This window comes from Homo sapiens, chromosome 10 (assembly GCF_000001405.40).
Source record: "Homo sapiens chromosome 10, GRCh38.p14 Primary Assembly".
Taxonomy (NCBI): Eukaryota; Metazoa; Chordata; class Mammalia; order Primates; family Hominidae; genus Homo; species Homo sapiens.
In genome coordinates this window covers 131,798,987-131,818,068 of record NC_000010.11, presented here as the reverse complement: position 1 = coordinate 131,818,068, position 19,082 = coordinate 131,798,987, and the positions used below count along the sequence as shown (strand labels likewise).

General features: G+C 50.8%; 2 annotated features.

Moving 5' to 3' along the window:
• Window positions 11,094-11,690: an enhancer, noted in NCBI's record as "H3K4me1 hESC enhancer chr10:133638715-133639311 (GRCh37/hg19 assembly coordinates)". NCBI's record gives its function as "activates a minimal SCP1, AML or CMV promoter by ChIP-STARR-seq in naive H9 embryonic stem cells {active_cell/tissue: H9 hESC(naive)}" and the evidence as "EXISTENCE:reporter gene assay evidence [ECO:0000049][PMID:30033119]".
• Window positions 11,691-12,288: an enhancer, noted in NCBI's record as "H3K4me1 hESC enhancer chr10:133638117-133638714 (GRCh37/hg19 assembly coordinates)". NCBI's record gives its function as "activates a minimal SCP1, AML or CMV promoter by ChIP-STARR-seq in naive H9 embryonic stem cells {active_cell/tissue: H9 hESC(naive)}" and the evidence as "EXISTENCE:reporter gene assay evidence [ECO:0000049][PMID:30033119]".

Genomic DNA, 19,082 nt, shown 5'->3' with positions numbered 1-19,082 from the left:
TGCCTGTTCTGCTGTCCTCTATCTGCCCCTCTATCTTACTCACCTTCCTTCTTCCTGCTCCCCTTGCTTCCTTCCTTCCTGCTTGCCTGGCCTGAGCCCCTCGGGGAGGGGTGGGAAGGGCCTGGCCAGGTGCTCGGTTCGGTTTCATAAACTTCAGCGCAGTGGGTGCAGAGTGGGAAGTGAGCAGTCTCCACCAGCCCGTCTGCAAAATGTGCATTAGTGTGGACAACAGAAATCAATGCATGGATCAGTTGTGCGTCTGTTGAACATGTAGGATTTGGGTCTTTTGCCACCGAATTACATACGGGCAAAGCTGCTCTGTTCCTAACAGAAAACACCTTTTTGACAGATTCCGACTTTATCAGCAGGGATGTTTTGTAGAAGCAGAATCAGTTTTATAACTCATGCATCTGCCAGGAAAACTCAGCTTCGGGTGACTTCTGGTCTTCCCCTTTCCTCCCATCTGCTCATTTCCTTGTCCCAAATGCACGCATACCCACACACTCGGGCACACTTGTGCATAAACACACACTCACACAGATGAGCACATAGACACACCGTCCTCCCCTGTGGCCAGACACACTCCCCCACAGCCCCACACTCACTCTCTAACCCCTTCAGCTCTGAGTCACCACGTGGACATCATCTGATCAAGATTTGCAAAAGTGAGAGCTTCACTTTAAGGGCTGACATCCACTGGGATTTGGGAATTGTTGGTTTTTGCAGCTTAGCTGGTCTTTTCCTGCATAATGCCCACCCCACTCCCTGCATCTCTGACCTGGCATGTTTGTATCTGCCTTGCACACCCAGGACTATGGGAGATCCCACACCTGGTAGCGAGGAGCACCAGGTAAGAGGATGATTTATGCGACACTTGTGTGAAGGACCCACTCTCTGTGAAGATGTCCTTCATTAAAAACAGAGAGAGAGAGAGAGAGCGCAAGAGTGTGCCAACCGGAAGCAGTCAAGCATAGCTCTGTCTTGAACCGCGAGCAGCCTTCAGGGGCTGCAGTTTCTGGACTAATGGACATGGTCAAGAGGCCACTCCCGACCCCTTGTTTGTGAACTTGGAGTGATGCCCCTTGACTATGACCAGGCATTGCTTCAGCTGAGACTAATGTGAGCCGTGCGTGTCGTCTATCTTAAACTTTTGTGTGTTCCTAATCGCACCCTCAATCCATCTTTCTGATCATCATCATCCGTCTTTGCCAGCCTGTAGCTCAGAGAAATGTCTTCAGTGTGTCCCTTCACTTTGTTTTGTGTCTTTGGAATGTTTCTCATCCAGTGAAGTTTCCTCTCACTCCCGAAGCCTCCGCCTCAATGTGGAGCCGCTTTATCTTTTCCTTTAATCACCAGGGATGGAAAATGCCCAGTGGATCATTTCTTCCAATTTATGTCTGAGCTTTTCCCTGCTCCAGTGGGGCTGGGTGATCCTAACAGGACAGCAGTGAGGGACCTGGTGATGCCCCCGGCCTGGACTCCTCAAGGAAAGACCTATTCCCGGTCATGGGGCATGTAGTGGGTAGATGGGAGTCCCCCCGCTCCCCAAGCATGGAGTGCAGGTCTGCCCACTTTGGCCCAAAGTGGGACGGCTCTGGTGGCCATGGCCCTGTCAGCCCCAGAGCTCCGGGGGTGACCAGCTGCTGTTGGGGTTTGCGGTGCAGCTCCTCTCCTCCCTCTGCTCACTGTATTCTTCCCTCCCTTCCCGGGAGCTTCCCCACAAACGTCCCGGCACCTGACTCCACCACAGCTTCCGCTTCCCAGAGAACCCGACCTGCAGCCAGGAATGACCTTTGAGAGAGGCAGTGGTGGGCGCACTTGGCTGTTGGACACCTGTCGGGTCCAGGCGTCTGCAGGGCACTTGGAATATGTCACAGGCTTAGTGCTTCATCCCAGTGATCACACCAACCTTAGGAACTATTTCCACCCCTGTGTTTTGACGAGAAGTGAAAGTTCAGGAATGGGTGCGGCTGCATGGCGGGGACACAGGGAGGAGGGTTGGCTCCCTGGCTCCAAGGCCCTGCTCTTAGGGGATGGGCCAGCAGCTGCTCCTTCCTGTTGGTGTATCCTCTGCCTCTCCACAGGTGCTGCTGCTCCATCTGCCCCTGCCCCATGGGCTCTCTGACATCCTGGCCCCTTCTCGTGGGCAACCCTCACGCCTGTGACATCAGCCTGTGACATCCTGCTGCTGCCTGGACCCCTCCTGGTGCTCCTGGGCTCTGCTCACTTCTCTCCTAGGTGCTCACTCATCTTGGCCACCCCCATTCCATCTCGGAATTAGGGGGCACCTCCTGTGAATGCCTGGGGCTCTTCATCCCTGTTCCTTCTAAAATTAAAAATAAATTATAAAATACATCAAATAGGGAGAGAGTGTGAAAATGTGCAGGTTCACTTCAAGAAAAATAGTAAAATGAGGCCCCGTGTAGGCACCGCTCATCCTGAGGAAGAGAACACCCTGGGAGGTGAGACCCCTGGGACCCCGCCCCACGGCAGCTCCCTCCCTCTCCTCTCACCCCCGGGGAAACGCTACCTCCAGTTTCCTGATGATTCTTCCTTGTTTCTCTGCACAGTCTGCTGCATCTCTGTGTTTCTCTAAAGAAGGAATGGTTCTGCTCTGTTTGCTGCTGGCTGTGTGTGTGTGTGTGTGTGTGTGTGTGTGTGTCTGTCCCCGAGTTTCTGTATTTGCTGATGCTGGATTCTGAGATTCATCCCAAATGAGCCTCATCTGCCCCTGGGCAACAAGTTTAATTGGAGAGAGGTCACACCCACCCACTTCACATTGTCAACCACTAGGTGTGGCAGAGACCACAAGGACCCAAAAGCATAAACGATGTCAGCACTGAGGTGTCAGGAGGCCCCGGGCACCCACCGGACAGGGCGCGCCTGCCCAAGAGCTGCTGGCCACGGTCCCCGGAGCATAGCTGAGCTCTGAGCCCATCCTGCAGATCTCTGCTGCCTGGTTACTCTGCAGGTGCACGCAGGGCGTGTGATAAACTTGGCAAGTGGACAGCGATCTACAGGGCTGGGGGGAACTGGAACTTGGGGATCCCAGAAGTGGTCTGGGCTGCAGGTGAGGGGTTGCCAGGTTCCCCTGGCCCCATGCAGGACTGTGCCATTTCACTTGGGTAGTGGTGAGGGGGCTGCTTCCAGCCTGTTGCTACTGTGGCCATTTGCCTGATGTCCACGTGCACAAGTGTCTCTGTACCATGGGCCGGCAAATGACAACACTCCACCTGCCTCTGGGCAACAAGTTTAATTGGAGAGAGGTCGCACCTACCCACTTCACATTGTCAACCACTAGGCATGGCAGAGACCACATGGACCCAAAAGCATAAACGATGACCCGGCCCTGTATGGAAGAAGTTGCTGACCCAGCTCCTGCTGACGTGACTTAGCAGAGAAACGCAGGGCCCAGCACTTGTGCGTGCTCCGCGGAGGGGGAGGTGCGTGCGCCTTGCAAATAGGGCACTGGCGGTGACCTTGAGCCCTCGCCTGTGCCTAGGATTTGCTGACCTTTAAACTTTGCCAGCCTGATGCTGTGGAACGATCTCTCATTTTGTTTTTAATGTTCTGTCTCCTGATTACATAAAAGGCCAGGCAGCTTTTTTTTTTTTTTTTTTTTTTTTTTTGAGACCGAGTCTGGCTCTGTCGCCCAGGCTGGAGTGCAGTGGTGCAATCTCGGCTCACAGCAAGCTCTGCCTCCCGGGTTCACGCCATTCTCCTGCCTCAGCCTCCCTAGTAGCTGGGACTACAGGCGCCCACCAGCACACCCGGCTAATTTTTTGTATTTTTAGTAGAGACGGGGTTTCACCGTGTTAGCCAGGATGGTCTCGATCTCCTGACCTCATGATCCGCCTGCCTTGGCCTCCCAAAGTGCTGGGATTACAGGCATGAGCCACCGTGCCTGGCTGAGGCCAGGCAGCTTTTTACAGGCCTGTTGGCCATTCTTGCTCCCTCCTTGGTGAAAGGATTCTTCAAGTCTTTGCCATTTTCACATTGTGTAATTTGTCTTTTTCTTACTGGTTTGTGCCTTCCTTATATATTTGGAATACTGGCTGACTGTTCACTGGTTTTACCAGTTCCTTCTTTACATCTTTGTAATCACATCCAGAGCTCAGATCCTGTGACCTCAGGTCTGGATGTGGCATTTATGTGCCTGTGAGTGTCTGCTCAGTGTTTGTGTGTAGGTTTGTAGGCAGCCATACTCTACTCATTTCCAAGATATCTGAAGTGTCTTAGTATAATGCATAGAAGTGGAAAAGCATAGTGACAAATAAAAATAAAATGGCACAGAGAAACCAGTTTTATCCTGGAGAAAGTAAGAGTGCAGATATGCAGGATGCAGAGGGCCTTTTGAGTTTGAGAAAATGTGCTTTCTAGGGACCCACATGAAAAGGGCAACATGATCAGCTACATGATCTAATCTGTCCATAAAGAAACAACAAAGCTCATTTTACACCATTTGTTTGAAGGGAATAGTGGGTGTGCGTGAAGTGGAGGTGAAGGTTGCCATGACATCTGGGGAGCAAACAGTGAGAACTTCAGATTTCTTCCACCGATTTATCTTGAAAACTGAAAATGTGTCGGCAAAGACCCTCTGTGTGGGCCAATCCTAGGAGCAGGACAACACCTGCCTGTCTCTGATCTTGTGTCCTGAGCAGCTGCCATCCACGTCACGTTCTCCGAGGTGGCTTTGCCATCTCACCGGGCCTGGGGCGGAGGTGGGATTCCTCTGAAGAAGGACACAGGGGTTAACTTTGAGGAATCCATGCTTTCTTCATAATTTTCTGTTTTGAGGCTGCTTTATTTTAAAAGTTACAATCTTGCTGTTACATGAGATGACTCTTGCATTTCCAAATACAAGCCAGAGCGTACAGGGCAGCAGAACATGCCTGTACGTCATTGGAATAAACAGGAGCAGATTCTGCGACAGGGACTGGATGCAAGCTTGTTTTTCGGGAGCCAGTTCCAGGAAACAGCAGTGGGGGTGTGGAGGGGGGACGTGGGCTGGGGAGAATGCAGCCAACCAAGGCTCGGAACCTAGCGGGTTCCCAGTGCTGGCAACTGGGGCTCCATCCTCCTGGGGGATTCTGAAACTGGGCAGAACACGCCCCTCAAAGTCTTCCCCATCCCGAGGAGGTGGGGGCTGGGGACGTCACCCACCACTCCCATCGCCACGGGTGGACTGCCGCGCCTGGCACTTTCTGGCTGCCATATGCATGGGCAGAGCAGGCTCTGCTGCCAGAGGCGCCCAGGGCTGCCTGGGAGGTGGGGCCTGCGGACCTGAAGGTGGCTCCTGCTAAGCAGCCTGGGAAGTCCTGCTGGTGTCTTTGCCGGGCACAGTCTCAGGAAGATCGAGGGCAATGATGTTGCTTTTTCAAATTATCTGGAGATTTACCTGCAGGCAATTGTTTCATCCAAACCTTTAATAAATTAAATGTATTACTTATATGAGTCTTAATGAAGCTGGGAATGATTATTATATGGGTCTTGATTAAGTTGGAAATAATTATTCATAATTAAGATTCTGATAACCTCCACTATGTAGAAAATATATTTCAAAATAAAACCAAACAAACAAATGTAGAGGCGGGACAATTATTGCACGATGGTAGGGTTCTCACGTGGACAGTAGGGTTCCCACGTGGACGGTAGGGTTCCCACATGGACGGTAGGGTTCTCACGTGGACGGTAGGGTTCCCACGTGGACAGTAGGGTTCCCACGTGGACGGTAGGGTTCCCACATGGACGGTAGGGTTCTCACGTGGATGGTAGGGTTCCCACGTGGACAGTAGGGTTCCCACGTGGACGGTAGGGTTCCCACGTGGAACGGTAGGGTTCTCACGTGGACGCTAGGGTTCTCACATTGTTGTTGATGCTGCTTCAGGGTCTATGTTAACGGCAAGGCCACCCTCCCACACCACCTCGGCTGTGCCCTCTGACCTCCCCCTCTGCCCACAAGGGCAAAGTCCCAGTCATCACCAGGACGCTCCTGATGTTTGGCTGATGGTCACCTCTGCAGGTGGCGGTGTTGAATCTGCTGGGTGTGTCTGTCCTGATACGCTTGGTCATTAATATCTTCTGGGAAATTCATGTCCAGTCTTGAGTTAGAGCCCATGTTCCCCTGGATCCCTGTGAGACCCCATAGAGGGCCATTGGTGCAGGGCATGGGCTGGGGGGTGACCCCTCAGACCTCACCTCCCCAACCTGCCAGCTCACCCTGGCCCCCAGATCACTCCTCTGTGGCCCAGCATCATTCCAAGATCCTGAGATGCCAAGAGCCAGCCTCCTGGAGCATCGGTCCTAGCAGCCAATGATTCTGTCACTAGTTTTAGACACTTTGCAATTAAAATGCTGTCAACAATTTCCCAACGCCCTAGTGACAGAACCCAGATCCATCTTATTTTAATATAAAACCCACCGTTTGGCATTTTGCAACTTCTAGCTCACTTTTCTAAACAGAAGACAAGCAGTACCACGAGGGAGAACGCAAGGCCACCCCATCCTCAGAACTGGGAGGGATGTCGGCACTGAGGTGTCAGGAGGCCCTGGGCACCCACCGGACAGGGCGCGCCTGCCCAAGAGCTGCTGGCCACGGTCCCTGGAGCACAGCCGTGCTCTGAGCCCGTCCTGCAGATCTCTGCTGCCTGGTTACTCTGCAGGTGCACGCAGGGTGTGTGATAAACTTGGCAAGCGGACAGCGATCTACAGGGCTGGGGGGAACTGAACCTTGGGGATCCCAGAGGCGGTCTGGACTGCACATCCTTGCCGAAAATCCTTTCTGCTTGAGTTTTCTCACATTCCTGGAATCCCACTGGTGCTCTGACTGGGCTGGGAGCTGGGGTCTCCCAGCCACGCCCTCCGCTGGTGTGCAGCCTTCCCATAGCCTGTCTACATGCCCTCCACCCTGGAAGGACCCCCGAGTCCCTGCTGGTCTCAGAGTGCCCTCTGCCTCAGACACCAGGAGCTGGAATGGCCTCTGCACCCTGCTGGACCCATCTGGATGGTCCCCGAACCTTGCCATGTGTAGCTGTACCCAGGAGGCTTTGCTGAGGATCCGATGGACAGGGTGGGAGGAAGGCCCTGGGGCAGGGGGTTCCTCTGGGTCTTTGGAGCCAACGGCTCGCCTCTGAGGTTGATGCTATCATGGGGTCCAGTAGCAAGTCCGCCAGAAGGCAGGCTGAGGGCCCGTGGGGTCAGAGTCCTCCTGCAGTCGTGTGACTGGCCAGCTCTTCCAGTTGCTTCAGTCCAGTAGGTCCGGGTTGGCTGAGCGCACCACGTGGCCAGGGGAGACGGGGGAGCCAGTGCTTGGCTGCCATCAGCAGGGGACATCTGGGAGAGTTCTGCATGCTTCTGAGAGCCCTGAGGAATTGGCCCCTTGGTGCACAACAGCCATTGCACAGCACAACCTCACGCTATGCTCCCTCTGTCCCCGAAAACTCACCTGCCCCTCACTCCTACTTCCTGCATCACCTCCCTAGAAGCTGCCTACACCCCAGTCCCTGCTGCAAGGGTGCATTGGGGGATTCCACTGAAACAGGCCCCCGCAGCAGCAGCAACAGGGTCTCAGAGCTGCATGGGGAGGCCCTGCTCAGGCTGAATTTTGCTCAACATTGGGTGAAATTCAAAGGCCTCTCTACTCAGGACATTCTGAGGACACAGGTGGGGCCCAGTGGTGACACTGACCAAGTGGTTTATTCTCAGTGAACGCAGCTCCCTGTGGTCCTGTGACCCAGGATGACACACACCTGTGCAGGCATGTACAGCTGCGCCACTGCTGTGCTGCCTGCCTCCCAGGGCCTTTGCCATTACCCTCCACCGACCCCTTCCCTGAAACCCATAGCGGTCCGAGCCCGCTGTGGTTTTGGGGACCGCCACTCCTCCATCATCCTGCTTTTCCTCCTGCCTGTCTTGTCTTTCTCCGAAGGGGACAGGAAGCCAGGCCCTGGTGCTAGCAGGCCTGAGTGCTGAGTGAAGATTCGCAGTCTCTGCAGGTGCCGCCCCTGAAAAGCTGTGCCTCCCTCCTATGCAGGGCAGACACACTACACCTGTCAGGAAATAACGCCATCTCCTCCTCATCTGAGGGCGCCTATTGAAAATTCGTTTGATGTGCAAATTCCTTGGAAAACAGAGAAAATCTAGCTAGTTAGTGCTTTCTAGGTGAAAGTCAAAGGAAAATATGAAACCCTGTCCCGAACCAGACTGTGTGCTCTTTGATGGTGGAGACGTCTGTCTTTTAGTGAGTGCCTGGAAGGTCTGTTGCCCGGGCCCAGCAAGATGTTGCTTAATTATAAAATGTGTGTGGCTACGGGGAAGACGGCATTTGTTGAATGAGCAGGTGCTTTAACCAGTGCTTCCAAGCATATTCTGTGCCAGGTACTCTTGCTGGGAACCAGCAAGGCACAAGGCAGAGGGTAGCTCCCCTCGGAGAGCACATCTTCCAGTGGGCTGTTGGTGAGGGCGCGGCCATAAATACATGTTGGGGAGGGGGATGAAGAAAACGCAGCGGGAAGTGAAGTGAAGGTTGACACGAGCTGGTTGTGCTGATGGATTGTTTGAAATTGGGAAGAAAAACACATTTTGTCATGGGAGCAACCTTTTCAACCTGGCTTGGTCTTCAGAGACTGGCGGTGCTTCCTGGATCTCCTGGGCACTGGGGGTGAATGGCAGATGGAGGCTCCCCAGATCTCCTGAGCCCTGAGAATACTGGGAATGAATGGCAGATGCAAGTTCCCTGGGTCTCCTGGGCACTGGGAATGAATGGCGGATGCAGGCTCCCCAGGTCTCCTGGGCACTGGGAATGAATGGCAAATGGAGGCTCCCCAGGTCTCCTGGGCACTGGGAATGAATGGTGGACGGAGGCTCCCCCGGTCTCCTGGGAACTGGGAATGAATGGTGGACGGAGGCTCCCCGGGTCTCCTGGGCACTGGGAATGAATGGTGGATGAAGGCTCCCCCGATCTCGTGGGCACTGGAATGAATGGAGGATGGAGGTTGCCTGTCATAGGCTGAATTACTACATGCAGAAAGATGTGTCCAAGTCCTAACCCCCAGGATCTGTGAATGGGACCTTCTGTGGAAACCCCATAGGGTCTGTCAGATGGAATTAGCTAAGATGAGGTCATGCTGGATCAGGGCGGCCCTAGTCCAGTGATGTGGACTTAGAATCGCTCCTTTTAAAGAGACGGCAATTTGGAGACACAGAGGCACAGATAGAGGGAGGATGGCCACAGGAAGACGGCGTGGAGACTGGAGAGACACAGCTGGGAAGTTAAGGGGGTGGTGACTGCCGGGAGCCGCCGGGATGTGGAGGAGGCAGGGAAGTGCTCCCCTGGAATTTTTGGTTGGAGTGAAGCCCTGCCGATGCCTTAATTTCAGACTTCTGGCCTCCAGAACTGGGAGATTGTAAAAGTCTGTTGTTTCAGATCCCCTAGTCTGTGGTTATTTGGCAAGGCAGCCCCAGGACGAGATGTGAATAGATTCCCTGGCCCTTTGCTCTCTGAGGCTGGGCATAGATCTCGGGCAATGCCCAGGGAAGATCCATTGGGTGCAGGCATGTGAGCCTGGTGTGGAAGATCCATTGGCTGCAGACAGGTGAGCCTGGTGTGGAAGATCCATTGGCTGCAGACAGGTGAGCCTGGTGTGGAAGATCCATTGGCTGCAGACAGGTGAGCCTGGTGTGGAAGATCCATTGGCTGCAGACAGGTGAGCCTGGTGTGGAAGATCCATTGGCTGCAGACAGGTGAGCCTGGTGTGGAAGATCCATTGGCTGCAGACAGGTGAGCCTGGTGTGGAAGATCCATTGGCTGCAGACAGGTGAGCCTGGTGTGGAAGATCCATTGGCTGCAGACAGGTGAGTCTGGTGTGCAAAGCCCATTGGCTGCAGGCAGGTGAGTCTGGTGTGGAAGGTCCGTTGGCTGCAGGCAGGTGAGTCTGGTGTGGAAGGTCCGTTGGCTGCAGGCAGGTGAGTCTGGTGTGGAAGGTCCATTGGCTACAGGCAGGTGAGCCTGTTGTGGAAGGTCCATTGGGTGCAGGCAGGTGAGGCTGGTGTGGAAGGTCCATTGGCTGCAGGCAGGTAAGTCTGGTGTGGAAGGTCCATTGGCTGCAGGCAGGTGAGTCTGGTGTGGAAGGTCCATTGGCTGCAGGCAGGTGAGTCTGGTGTGGAAGGTCTGTTGGCTGCAGGCAGGTGAGTCTGGTGTGGAAGGTCCATTGGCTACAGGCAGGTGAGCCTGTTGTGGAAGGTCCATTGGGTGCAGGCAGGTGAGGCTGGTGTGGAAGGTCCGTTGGCTGCAGGCAGGTGAGTCTGGTGTGGAAGGTCCGTTGGCTGCAGGCAGGTGAGTCTGGTGTGGAAGGTCCGTTGGCTGCAGGCAGGTGAGTCTGGTGTGGAAGGTCCATTGGCTACAGGCAGGTGAGCCTGTTGTGGAAGGTCCATTGGGTGCAGGCAGGTGAGGCTGGTGTGGAAGGTCCATTGGCTGCAGGCAGGTGAGTCTGGTGTGGAAGGTCCATTGGCTGCAGAAAGGTGAGGCTGGTGTGGCACATGTGGTTAGTTGCCTCCTGTTTCTTCCCAACAGTGTGTTGAGGCATCAAAATGCTCATTAAAATACCCCCTTTTCCAGACACCCCTGCAGCTGGAGTTGGACCAGCCTGGAGCTGGCCTGAGACAGACCCGTGGTCTCATTTTTCCCTCCTCCCTCCCTCATCCATGTCTGGAAGCTGGGTCTGATGCCTCCACCACCTCCCAGCCAACAGACTGATGTTGCATGCTATGCATTAGGATTTGTGTTCTCCATTTCATCAGTGGAGAAACTGAGGCCTGGAGAGCTCCGTTCATCTGTGTCAGCTCACATGGGGTGGATGGCATGGCCCTGCCCTCTGTGCCTGCTGCACCGGCTTTCTCTCGCCCACGTGGGTTTGCCAGGCCACTCTGGGCGAGAGGATGGCACCCTGCTGTCTATTTCCAAGGCAGTTTTGGAGACCAGGTTGCTGAAGCTGCACACTTCTGCGGCCGCAGTGTGTCATACGCCCCATGTCTTCCGAGACACCTCAGGCGAGCAGAAATCAATGCCGGATAGTTGCTGTAAATGTCCATCTCTCGCTCAGAAGCACTTTGTCTGGATGTCTTCCCCTTTGCTGTCAAAGCAACTTGTCGTCGACACTGTAGGCTGTGAGTCATTTTGAAAACATTAAGGGCAGATGCAGGCCATGAGGCCCCGGCTTCTCATGTCCCCATCTGTGCTATTTCTGGAAGGTTGGCGGGTCTCCGAAGGCCCAGCCCACGTGTCAGAGACGGCCTAGCAGAACTTTGACGGTGGTGTCACAGCCGAAGAGCACCGAAGGCTGCGCTGACTGCCCGACATATTGGCATCCACAGTAAGGCCAATTCATCCAAAGCATCAGGCTTAGGTCAGCAAGCAACACACTCCTTGGCCTGTGGGCAAATTGCCCTTCAAAGGAAAACAGCCAAAAACTGTCTTTTCCATCTCTTTCCAGCTCTGCGCAGTGCCTCTGTGGGCAGGAGGGTGAGCTCAGACTTCCCTTTGGTCTCACGTGGTGGTTTTCACAAAGCATTTTGCCTCCGGCACCAGCTTTGAAGTTTTACTGTTATTTTAAGGTAGAAAAGGTGGGGTGGGGGCACGTCAGGATTAGCAACAACCAGCTCCACCTGCGGGGCAGAGAAGCCCCAGAGTTGGGGCTCAGGGACAACCCCGGCGTCAGGCCTACAGTCCCCAATGGCCGCTTCGCCCGTCAGCGCTCACTGCAGCTGGGGGTGCAGAGACATCTTACAGAGTGGGGGCAGCTCCAGGGGGTGTCTTGTTCCTTGGTGGGGACAGGTGCTGGGGAGGGTCCTGTGGTTTATGGGTTTCCTGGGAGAAGCTTGCAAAAAGGATTTGTGTCATGGTGGTGTTGCCTCCTGTGTGGGTCAATGGTGTGGTCATCGCAGGGTACTCGTGGGGTGTGCGGTTCCCATCTGGGAGATGGGGCAGGGTCCCTGTTGTGCAGGGCAGGTGTGAGGACTGCCTGGCTCATGTGTCAGCTCCTGTTGCTCAGGAACTGCTGGGGATGTGTGGACTGCATGTGTCTCCTGCACACTGAGCTCCAGTCAATGCCCAGTGAGAGAATGGATGGGCGAGGGAAAGAGGGGGTGCTGGGTCCGTGCTCCTGTCACCCCACTCCTCTTGCCCCCGCAGGGTGCCCTCAGCCCAGCACACACCTGGTCATACATCATAGCCCCTGTGCCCATCTGTACGTTCCCACTCATGCAGAGCAACTTCTGCTGTGTGAGAAAACTAAATTAGGGTGGATGTGAAGGTGGATCTCACATTAAAAGGCCAAATGAGACCCTGAAGCCAATGACATTCTTCACTAAGGCCTATTTTTTTTTGACAGAATTTCAAACTCAAGTTTCCCCTTTGTTTTCTAATCAGCACTGAGCTCCCCTCTTTGGAGAAGGAAGGAAGCTTTGTTATTCAGAGACAGCCACGGGAAAAGGAATAAAATTAACATGAAAGTCCAGGTGATTCGATGAATATTCATATGGACAATTTAATCAGTGTCTGTTCATTATCCGCATTTCCATGAGAAGCAGGTTCCTAGAATATAAATAAAGATTGCATAGCAATTGTATTGACTTTCATTTTGCTCTGAGATACTCAAGCCTCTATCTGCAGCTTCAGGACGTGGGCTCTGTGTAACTGGAGATAGAGGCAACGTGGAAACCTCAGGATTCATTACCTGAGGAGTGAATACCCTGAGAATTCCAGTTGCAGCTTGCAGGTACCTGGTATTCTTATCTGATTACATTTAAGTGGGTTAGACAGCACAATTTTCCAGAAAGTTGCCCTTTATCCTTAATAATAACAAAGAAGTCCAAAGTGGCGTGGGTGGTTGGAAACACAACTCTAGAGACCTGCGACCCCGCTTGGGGGCCCGTGAGACCTCAGCACTCACTTCTCTGATCCTCGGCCCCGGCTTCCGGGGACTCCCAGTGACAGCTGTGAGGGTGACGATGAGTGTCTTATATGTGGTAGCCTTGGTGATGGTTGTTTCCTGGCTGTCGGAGATGAGAGGGGCTATGATAAGGAGGGGTGCAGTCACAGAGAGGAGAGAGGAGCTGAGAACTTGCCTGAGGTCCTTGTGCTTGACTTCCTCCAGCTCCTAAGGGCTTGACTTGAAGTAGGCCTGAGTCAAAGACACACAAACATACACATCATGAGGAAATGCTTGACTTCAGTGGCAGTCAAACACTAAAGGCAGTCGGACGCTAAAGGATGTAATGGTGACCATCATGACAAAAGAGAAACACCAGGATGGGCGAGAGGCTGCGGCCACATGGCGGAGGCTGTGCCTCTGGAGGGCAAAGTGTCAGCATCATCGTCAGAAACGTTAACAGGGTTCAGACCCCCTAACCCATAGGGTCACGTCCAGAGATGGATCCTGGAGGCAGTGTCGGAAATAATTTTTATATAAGATGTTAATTAAAAGGCTGTTAACGATAATGAGAATTCGAAACATTGTAAATGTTAACAATGGGAAATTGGTTAAACACTAGTATGATCTCTCAAAAGATTTGCTAACCATGCAGACGTTCGAAATCGTGCTAAGCCTTTCTGGCAGGACCGGGGAATATCCGAAGGGTGGAGTCTGGCTCAGCAGTTCTAATTTTAGGTGCCTATTTGACAGCTTTGTGGTTCACTGTGGAAGAGGCAGGGAGGTTGGGTATGGACGTGAGAACAGCAGCAGGGAGAAAGCCCCCCACAGCCAGCCACAGGGCAGGGTAAACGTGGTCTGGCTTAGCCTTCGTGTCCGGGGAGCACAGGTGAAGGGACGAGGCCATGGGGGTTTCGGGGGCCTGGAAATGCTAAGGGAAATCCACAGACAGCAGGTGGGCTGACTTGGTCCCCAGGCCAGTTTGCTAACCCTGCACTGGAAGGCAGGTACCCTTTGTGGCAGGCCAGGTCTCACTAACGCAGGCCTCCATGACAACTGTCCCGGCACTGACTGAGTAGCTAGGTTAAACATTAAAAGCTGAAAGAGCTAGTGCCTTTATATACAGGCTGGGCCACCAAGAGTTTTGCCTAGGCTTTTCCTGGGCCTTGAAGCATGACAAGATAACGAAGGAATTCTTAACAGGACCCTTTTACAACTAAACAAACTGTGTTGGGGATCTGAAGAAACTCCCCAGGCCTCCACAGACAAGTTTATTGGGGTCTAAAGGAACTTCCCAGACCTTTATGATTTCTCAGAGACGGGGCAATCACCCCAGCACCTGGACCCATCTAGATGAAGTAAACTTACTGAGGCTCCACAAGAAGGTCTTCAGGACTCAGACCTCAGTTATAGATTAGAAAAAGGTCTTCAGGACTCAGACCTCAGTTATAGATTGGAAGTTAATCACTTCTGGCATTAGGTGAATGCACTCTTACACATAGACATGTAGCTTGGAAGGTATATAAGCTCTGGAAGACTCTGTAATTTTGAGTTGGTCTGGCGATAATTTCCAGGCCTTCTCTCTGTAACCGGTTGCAGAAATAAACACTCTTCTTCCTCAGTTCATCTGCATCTTGTTACTGGGCCGTGAGAAATAGCAAAACGACCCTCAGTTTGTTCCGGGAACAAATAACCTTTTAGATTTGATGAGGGAGGGATTTTGCCACTTTCTTTGGACTCTTCTGATTCTTTGGGGGTTTCTCCAGTGAGCATTGTTCACTTTTGTAATCCCAGAATATATGCAGTAAATGTTCTATTAAAGAAACACCCTTAGTGCTTTTCTCTTTTCTTACTTCTGTTTGTCCCTTGCACGTGCTGTGCTGCTCCGGCCCCGCTCCGGCCCCACTCCAGGGTCCTCTGCTGCTGAGGCGCCTTCCAGCTGTCTCTAGGGTGCAGCCTGCGTGCCTGACCGCCTTCAGAATGTCACATCCAAGCTGTATTGTCTTTGCCTCGTCTGAACCGGCCTCTCCTGGCATGCTTTAAGAAGGATGAACCCCTCTCGGAGCCCGTGCGTTGGAGATTATAAAGGAGTAATGATTCGGTGACTTAAAAGATTTAGTAGCCAGGTTGTTACAGTCTTGGAGCAGAAAGAAGATTAATGAGGTACTAGCTTAACATATGTCTCAGAGAAAGAACAGTCGTTTAATTTCTAACTTTGTAGAACTTGTATCTGCTCCCATTTTGCAGGAATAGAAATTTTGCAACATGATTTTTTTTTGCTCTCAAATTAGCTGGTTAAAAGAAACCAATGAAATTACCCCAGGGTTAAAGAAGGTGGCTCAGAGACAGTGTCCTGGTTTCCGGAAGGGCCTGGGAGCCCAAGTGTCTGCCTCCAGGGCTGGACTCTTGGGGCTTAGCTGGAAGTGAGGCCCTTCCCTAGGCCCCTGTTGGATGTCTTCCTCCTCACTGGGGACAAGGGCCAGTTCCTTGGGCGATGATTTTAAACGACACCCACAAAGCCATTGAGACTCCTTCCTTCAGAAGGTGAAGCCTTATTCAGCACACCTTGACCGCGATGGGCTTAGCGACTGCTTCAAAACCAAAAGGATGTAGTGACATGTAGGTCCTTCTCGCCTTTTCTCATAGAGGCCTGTAGGTGAGGCTTTTTCCTTCAAGAAGGGAAGCCCAACCTCTTCACCTTAGGAGGCATCACCCAGAGACACCCCCAAATGCTCTCAGAGCAGTTTACCCATTCGCGCCCCCACGGCAGCCTAGGGAGCCTCCCGCCCCACCCTCGAGCCATCAGTGGGTACTGACGCTTGCTTCAGTTCCGGCCAACCCGATGGCGTGAAATGGCATCTTACTGTTTTGATTGGCATTTCCCTAGTGTTTTATTACTGTTTGTTGGACAGTCAGGCTGTCTTTTCTATGAACAGCCTCAACAGAGCCTTGGTGCATTTTCTCCATTGGGCTGTTTGTCTTTCCTTATGGATTGGTAGGAAAATCATGCTTTCTAGCTGACAATCATTTATAGGTTGCATAAATTGCAAATAATTTCTCCCAGTCTGTGCTTTAGTTATTTACATTTGTTTATGGTGTCTGCTGGTATACCAAAGTTTTAAATTTTGTTCTAGTCATATTTGTGATGCTTTTCCTTCAAGATTTACGTTTTTCTCCCTTGTCCCCCACCACAGTTCATTAGAATATTTTTGTACATTTTTTTCTAATTTGTTTTTGACCGTGCGATCTTTGATCACTTAGAATTCACAGTTTGCTCTTGTTGAGAGGTAAGGGTCTACGATTTTCCCAATCTAGTAAGCCCTGGATAGTCATCCTTTTTCCTCTGACTTGGGATTCTTCCTCTATTATACGACAAAGTCCTGCTGCTTGTGGATGTGTGGTCTGTGGGTCTGTATCTGTGGATACAGAGAGGCCTATGGGGCTTTCTTTTCTGCTCTGTTGACTTAGTTGTTCAGCCTGGACCCTGAAAACACACATCTTAATTCTGGGAGCTTGTATGAAGCCTTGCTAATCTCGGAAGGAAAGTCTTCCTGCCGTCCTCTTCTTTTCCAGAATTTCTTGACTACTCTTGGACTTTCATATGAATTTTAAAATGTGTCTTACGGCTGGACATGGTGGCTCACACCTGTAATCCTAGCAATTTGGGAGGCCAGGGTGGGTGGATCGCCTGAGGTCAGGAGTTTGAGACCAGCCTGACCAATGTAGTGAAACCCCATCTCTACCTAAAAATACAAAAAATTAGCTGGGCGTGGTGGTGGGAGCCTGTAATCCCAGCTACTTGGGAAGCTGAGGCAGGAGAATCGCTTGAACCTGGGAGGTGGAGGTTGCAGTGAGCTGAAATTGCGCCATTGCACTCTAGTCTGGGCAACAAGAGTGAAACTCCGTCTAAAAAAAAAAAAGGGTCTTACAAGCTCTACAAAAATAATCTCTTTGGGATTTTGATTAGAATTGCTTTGAATTTACAGATTAACTCAAAGAGAGTCGACATCTGTATGAACTTAGGTCTTCTTACTGCCCTGCTTCCCTACTCGCTCACAGTTTTCATGTCCTTGAGTAATGTTTATGACTTTCTCTATCAGTATCTTGGACATCTTGTGTTATGTTAGATTTAGTTTTAGATACCTTATGGTTTCTTTTTTCTCCTCCCATTGTGAATGGGATCTTTTATAAATCACATTTTTAATTAGTTATTGCTGATGTGTAACAATGCTTAGATTTCTCTGTGTTGAGCTTATGAGCAGTAGCCTTGCTGAAACTTCTTATTAGTTCTAATTGTAAATGTTCTTTCATCTTTTTTTGCATGCAGCTATAAAGATCTGTTAGTAATTACCTATCTTTTATAATCTGTCTGCTTCATTTTTCTCAAATTAACATATTGCCTCGGCAGGAACTCTGGCAATGCAGTGCTGACTGGTGTGGGAGGTATCAAGCGTCCTTGCCTCATTCCTTGGGTAAACCCTACTTAGTGGCCATTGAAAATACTTCTGGCTAGGTCTTAAAGAACAGCAGAGTTTACCAGTCAATGGAGGAAGCATAAAGGAAAGTGTTCTATCCAAAGGAATCGGTATATAGAGGACACGGAAGCAGGAAGCACATGGATATGAGGATTTGGAAGTGTTTATTGCAGCTGCAATATAGTGTGTGATATTTTGGGGAGGGAAGAGGTTGAGGAGATTGCGCCCAGAGATGAAGTTGGAGAGATAACCAGGGCCCAGATCATGTAAGGCCTTGACTTTTTCTCACAGGCCATGGGGGACCATTACAGGGTTTTTAGTTGCGAGTGGCAAGATAAGTTTGTTTGTTTGTTTGTTTATTTTTGAGACTGAGTCTCGCTCTGTCGCCCAGGCTGAAGTGCAGTGGCATGATCTCAGCTCACTGCAACCTCTGCTTCCCGGTTTCAAGTGATTCTCATGCCTCAGCCTCCTGAGTAGCTGGGATTACAGGCTCATGCTGCCACGCCCAGCTAATTTTTTGTATTTTTAGTAGAGGTGGGGTTTCACCATGTTGGCCAGGCTGGTCTCAAACTCCTGGTCTCAAACTCCTGACCTCGAGTGGTCCACCTGCCTCAGCCTCCCAAAGTGTTGGTATTACAGGTGTGAGCCACCAAGCCCGGCCAAGAAAACTATCTTTAAATCAGCCTTATTACGGCAACATTTCCTTATAAATGTTCCTTATAAATGTTCCTGAATAAAATCCACATATTTAAAGGGTACAATTCAATGAGTTCCAACAACAGTGCACAGCCGTGCAGCCCTCCTCACAATCAAGCCACAGACCAGTTCTGCATCCCCAAGGTGCTCCTGAGTAATTTTGCTGTTAGCCTCTTCATGCTCTAGCAGCTCCTGTAATTTTGCCTTTTTTAGACTTTCTTCTAAATGGAATTCTATTGTGTGTAGTCTTTTATGTCTGGCTTCTTCCACCTAACATGATACTTTCGGGATTAACCCATGTTGTTGCCTGTATTGGTAATTCATTCCTTTTTCTTGCTGAGTAGTATTCCATTATATGGACATACCACAGTTTATTTAGAGAATTTGGGTTAGTTTCAGGTTTTGGTGATTACAAATAAAGCCATTATGGCCATTTGCAAGCCCATCTTCATGGGGATATATATTTCATCTCTCTTGGGTAAATACCTAGGAATGAAATTGCTGAATTACTTGGCAAGTGGATGTTCAACTTATAAAAACCTGCCAAGCTATTTTCTAAAGTGCCTTTGTCATATTGCATTCCCCAGTAGTGTATTAGAGTTCCAGTTGGTACATGTTCTGACTGACACTTGGTATTGTCAGTCTTTTAAAATGTAAGCATTTTAGTAGATGTGTAGTGGTGTCTTATTGCAGTTTTAACTTGCATTTCCCTAATGACAAATACTGTTGAGCATCTTTTCATACACTATTGACTATTTGTATATGTTATTTTGTGAAGTATCTGTTTAACTCTTTTGTTTTGCACAATTAAAACAATTTTTTTCTTATTTTTGAGCTATACTATATTTTATATATTCTGGTTACAAGTCTTTATTAGATAACATATTTTGCAAATATTTTCTCCCAGTCTGTGGCTTGCCTTTTAGTTTTCTTATTGTAGTTTTTAAGAGGTAACAGTTTACAATTTTTATCAGTCCACTTTGTC